Here is a 5,322-nt window from a genome sequence, read left to right on the forward strand (position 1 = left end):
CTCATCTCCACCCTGAGCTTGTGGTGTGTTCCTCACCTTGAAAGCTCTTCCTCTTTCTCTTCTTCAAATCTTGTGATTTTTAAAGATGCAGTTCAACTCCCACCCACCTCCCTTATGAAATCTTCCCTTATGCTTCTAGTGCCTTCCTCTGGCCTTGTCTTCATCACTTATTTTGGGTTTTAAACAACGACTATTATGTACTTAGTAACAGTACTTGTGTCCCTTTTTTTTTTTTGAGACGGAGTTTCGTTCCCGTTGCCCAGGCTGGAGTGCAATGGTGTGATCTTGGCTCACGGCAACCTCTGCCTCCTGGGTTCAAGTGATTCTCCTGCCTCAGCCTCCCGAGTAGCTGGGATTACAGGCGCCCGCCACCATGCCCAGCTACTTTTTGTATTTTTAGTAGAGACGGGGTTTTGCTATGTTGGCCAGGCTGGTCTCGAACTACTGACCTCAGGTGATCCACCTGCCTTGGCCTCCCAAAGTGCTGGGATTACACATGTGAACCACTGTGCCCGACCTTGTGTCTCTTAGCCGAATGGGAATTACCTTTGATGCCTAGCACAATCCTGAGAATTATAAAATTTGAGTGAGTATAAAATTATAAGCATATACTAGTATTACCTTAATTACCTCTGACCTATTTTACTTTATTCTTACAGCTTTTCTATCTACAGAAATAGTATAACTAAACGTCAAGTTTACTATTGCTTAAGTGTCTCTCATTCTCTTTCAAAGAAACTGATCTTGCTGTTGTCTCCATTTAATGCATACTCTTCACTGTGCAACTGAAATATAGAGAGTCTGGAATTTTCCTCAAACTAGGGACTAATTCCCTTTAATTTCATCAAGTCTTAGGTAAGTTCCTGTGTTTTGTGATAAATACATTTTTACCTTCCTTTTAATGGAATATTTGAATGTTCAATTTCTCCAAAAATACAGAACTTTAAAAAACCCAAAAAACAGTAAGGTCTTTCTTTCATTGAGTTTGATGTTTATTGTTTTTCTCTCCTTTCTCCAAGCACAGGGGAAGAGGTATAAAAGCAGAGGGATATATGCTTTTGAAAAGCCACCCTGGGCTAGATGCAGAAAAGCAGAAATTATGGTGCTAGCTTCTTTTACTGCATAGGCAGTTTAGCTCTGCTTAAGACTATTGTACTTGAGTCCTAAGTTTACAAATCTAGGGAAATCATGCTTACAAATGAGCATGGTTTTCTTTTTGCATATAACAGCACCAATTACTTATTAAACACCTACTATACATCAGACGCAATGTTGGTTGCTTTATATGTTACCTAATTTTCATGATCAAATGTATCATGATTTCCATTTTACAAATGAGGAAACCGAGGCTTAGAGATGCTAAGTAACTTTAACAACTAGTAAATGGCAGAGCTAGAGTTTGGATGCAGAACTGATTCCAAAGCCTATGCTCTTTTCTCTACATCTTGCACTGTCAGTGTCTTTTAGTGGCAGGAATTCTCACTGGGGAATGTTGGGGCTTGCATCTATGACTCTGGCAGCTAAATGGAAGGATAGAATAATAATAAAAAAGTTCCATTGTATCTAGGGAGGCTTACCAGACCCCTTCCCCTATGCACAGTTGCTCCAGGCTTTGTTATTAGATGTTCCTCACTCTGACAATTTACATTTCAGTGTACACTAAATTTGGCACTGTCCCTTTTGTTATGGAACATCTGATCATTTCTGTCTGGGTAGGTGGGGAGGAAGGCTGAGAAGTTTTTATCTTTGTCAAGGCCCAGGAATGAAAACAACACCAGGAAGTAAATCAATGCAATAATATACATTTTATATTAAAAATATAATATGCAGTATATTTTATATTTAATATTAGTATATAACATATTAATATATAAACATTATTTAACATTATGCATTTTATATATATTAGAAATTCTACCCTGTAAAAATATATTTCTCAAGGGGCCGGCATTCGGGGGCGGGGGGGGCAATACATTTATCACACAATATGAAACTTACATAAGACTAGATATATCTATAGTCTTCGTGCTGTGCTGATATATAAATTCCAAGTTTCAGCTGTTAGTTACTTACTTGGAGATCAGTAGAAGGAAATTTCAGTGTGACAAGAATGTTGACAATCCCTGTGCTATCTGTACTAGGATCTAGTTCCACTGTGCTCTTCCAGGGAAGGATGTAGCTGTGTATGCAGGTTTTAGTTGGACAGTCATCTTTTTCTAGTGGCAGTTTCCCAGTCGCTGTTCTGTGTATTAGGACCACGGGAGGAGAGAAAAGGTTATTCTTCCTTCTCCATTTTTCCACACTTAAGAGAATTTAATATACTGTGTTTTCTAGTTAGTAGTTAATTTTGTGTAATAGTCTAGAGATTGCTATACAGATTTAATGTGTTTTACACTTAGTTGGGCAAAAGTGTATTAGTATCTACCACCAACCAGATCTAACTACATAAATATATATTATATAATTATATTAAGGATAATTTGTGGGTTTTGCGTGTGAACCCTAAAAATCTGAGCCATGTCCCAGTTAATTTAGAAAGTTTATTTTGCCACGGTTGAGGATGCGTGCCCATGATACAGCTTCAGGAGGTCAGAACCCGAGGTGGTCAGAGCAGTTTGGTTTTGTACATTTTAGGAAGACACGAGACATCAATCAGCGTGTGTAAGATGAACACTGGTTCAGTCCAGAAAAGGTGGGACGACTTGAAGCAAAGGTGGGACAACTCAAAACAGGGGGCGGGCTTCCAGGTTTTAGGGAGATAAGAGGCAAATCACTGCATTCTTTTGAGTTTCTGGTTACCCTTTCCAAAGGAGGCAATCAGATATTCATTTATCTCAGTGAGCAGAGGGATGACTTTGAATAGAATGGGAGGCAGGTTTGCCCTAAGCAGTTCTCCGAAGCTTGACTTTTTCCTTTAGCTTAGTGATTTTGGGGCCCCAAGATTTTCCTTTCACATGAGTTAATAACTGTCCAGTCTTGTGAAATATCATTTTAATATTAGGATATCTGAAATGTTTCCATATGGCTGGGTGTGGTGGCTCACGCCTGTAATCCCAGCACTTTGGGAGGCTGAGGCCTGAGGAACACTTGAGCCCAGGAGTTTGACACCAGCCTGGGCAACATAGTGAGACTCTATCTTTACAAAAAATAAAATTAGCCAGGCGTGGTGGCGCATGTCTGTGGTCCCAGCTACTTGGGAGGCTAAGGGAGGAGGATAACTTGGGCCCAGGGGCTTGAGGCTGTAGTGAGCCATGATCATGCTACTGCACTCCAGCCTGGGGGACAGAGATAGACCCTGTCTCAAAATCAATCAACACACAATGACAACAAATAAATGAGATGTTTCTACAGATCACTTTGTTTTTTTAGAAACACTAAATTAATTAATTAATTTAGTTATTGAGACGGAGTCTTGCTCTGTTGCCCAGGCTGGAGTGCAGTGGTAGGATCTCGGCTCACTGCAACCTCCATCTCCCGGGTTCAAGCTATTCTCCTGCCTCAGCCTCTCAAGTAGCTGGGACTACAGGCATACGGCACCATGACCGGCTAATTTTTGTATTTTTAGTAGAGACCAGGTTTCACCATGTTGGTCAGTCCGGTCTGGAACTCCTGACCTCAGGTGATCTGCCCGCCTCGACCTCCCAAAGTGCTGGGATTACAGGCGTGAGCCACCGTGCCTGGCCTAAAAACACTAAATTTAGTAAGGTACTGGGGTGCAGTTTTGTCACTGACAGTTATGGTGCTGTAGAAAGAGCCCATATCTGGAAGCTGCCTTTAGCCTCAGCTCTGCCTCTTGCTTTTGTACCTTGGAAAAGTCACTTCACCTGTTTTCTCATCTATATAGGATGAAGATCATAATTTCTTTTACACAGTGTTATGAGACTGAATGACAGAAATTAAAAGAAGTGTTCTACGAAGGCAAAGTTAGGTTTCTTATAGCAGGAAGGGAGATGCACACAGAGAAGTGGGAATCTCAGGAGACGGATGTGGCCAGGGGCTTTTTACGGGGGTTGGGCTAAGCATTATTAGTCAACGGGCTGTACTGCTATTTATGGTAGGTTTTGAATACCGTTTCTCCAAAATAACCTATTTCCTCCCCAAACCCAAACTTCCTCAACTGGGATCGAACTCAATCCTACAGCGTGTTCTGAGATTCTATACTCGCCTCACTTCTCCCAAGATCGTAAATTCTGGAGGAGCCATTCCTTCATCATCCATGTTTGCATCCTTCACACCGTTCACTGGTTAAGTGCTTAGTACGTTTGCTATTGGGCAAGGTCCTCAAACGGGAGGTGGACGTCAGAATAGTCAGGTTATCGACTGAGTAACTGTTAGTGGTGGATAATTTAAAGCCAATTTGAAAGTTCATCCTTTCCCCCAAAGGCAAAAACAGGCGTTCCTTTTCTTAAAAGAGAATTTTAAATAGAATTGGGTCTCTGGTGTCCTGCCTAAAGCCCGCAAAGAAAGAGGGTACGGTTGGGGGTGGGGGTGATGGGGGATACTGAACCCTTTTCTGGTTGCGCCTTGCCCGGAGCCCCCGGCTAGAGCCCTGGCGCTCCTGGCGCGCTCCCAACGCGAATCGGTGACTCCGCAGGCCGCGCAGTGCGGAGGTGCCCGTCCCACCCTCCCCCTTGTGGGGTGCGGGGCTCCATTTCCCCAAGCCGCTGGGGTCGGCTTCTGGTCTTGAGATGCGGATGAAGTGGTGTGAAGGGTTGGGCTTTTTTTTTTGTTCCTAAAAATGCAACGAACAAAAAAAAAAGTACAACAATCCAAACCCAACCATCTTAATTGCACGGCAGCTTAACTGGGAGACTTTCTTCCCGGGCGGCCCCACCCGGGACCGCGCCGCTTCAGTCGAGCCCACCGTCTGGGCAAACGGCGTCCACTTCCCGGAGCCGCTGCCCAGCCTCTGCGGGGGGGCTTTGGGCGGGCGCAGGACTCTGGAAGGGAGAAAAGCCCGCAGCCCGGCCCTCCCCGTCCCAGGCGGCCCGCGCGGGTGGACGGCGGGAGCAGGCGGCGGTTGGAGACGCCGGAAGGAACGCGGTCTCACCACCCGGCTCCCTCCGCCAAGGCGAGGCGCGGCCGGGGAGGCGGGACACAGGCGAAGCGGGACGGGGAGGCGGGGCCGGAGGTGCAGGCGGAGGCGGGCGACGGGGAAGGGAGGGGGAGGGGGAGGGGAAAGGGAGGGGGAGGGGGAGGGGAAAGGGAGGGGGAGGGGGGAAGGGACGGGAGGGGAGGGGGAAGGGACGGGAGGGGAGGGGGAAGGGACGGGAGGGGAAGGGGAAGCGGGAGAGGGAAGGGGGCGGAGCTAGCCGGAGCCGC

The 5,322-nt window shown here is 45.6% G+C and overlaps 1 long non-coding RNA gene and 1 other non-coding gene across 2 annotated transcripts in view, besides 3 other annotated features; both read right to left on the minus strand.

The window, feature by feature from the left end:
• The window catches only part of DLEU2 (deleted in lymphocytic leukemia 2), a 142,993-nt gene that overhangs the window by 9,171 nt on the left and 128,500 nt on the right, over positions 1-5,322 (minus strand). The window contains exon 12 of the long non-coding RNA NR_152566.1: positions 2,074-2,242. This is a non-coding gene — a long non-coding RNA (deleted in lymphocytic leukemia 2). The remainder of the gene's footprint in view (positions 1-2,073; positions 2,243-5,322) is intronic.
• Positions 4,290-4,339: a silencer, noted in NCBI's record as "silent region_5350". NCBI's record gives its function as "represses an Ori minimal core promoter by ATAC-STARR-seq in GM12878 lymphoblastoid cells {active_cell/tissue: GM12878}" and the evidence as "EXISTENCE:reporter gene assay evidence [ECO:0000049][PMID:35858748]".
• Positions 4,620-4,749: an enhancer, noted in NCBI's record as "active region_7757". NCBI's record gives its function as "activates an Ori minimal core promoter by ATAC-STARR-seq in GM12878 lymphoblastoid cells {active_cell/tissue: GM12878}" and the evidence as "EXISTENCE:reporter gene assay evidence [ECO:0000049][PMID:35858748]".
• On the minus strand, positions 4,696-4,782 carry MIR3613 (microRNA 3613). The gene has a single exon (NR_037407.1). It is a non-coding gene; the product is annotated as a microRNA 3613 (primary transcript).
• Positions 4,930-5,059: a silencer, noted in NCBI's record as "silent region_5351". NCBI's record gives its function as "represses an Ori minimal core promoter by ATAC-STARR-seq in GM12878 lymphoblastoid cells {active_cell/tissue: GM12878}" and the evidence as "EXISTENCE:reporter gene assay evidence [ECO:0000049][PMID:35858748]".

Source organism: Homo sapiens, chromosome 13 (genome assembly GCF_000001405.40).
Source record: "Homo sapiens chromosome 13, GRCh38.p14 Primary Assembly".
Classification (NCBI taxonomy): Eukaryota; Metazoa; Chordata; class Mammalia; order Primates; family Hominidae; genus Homo; species Homo sapiens.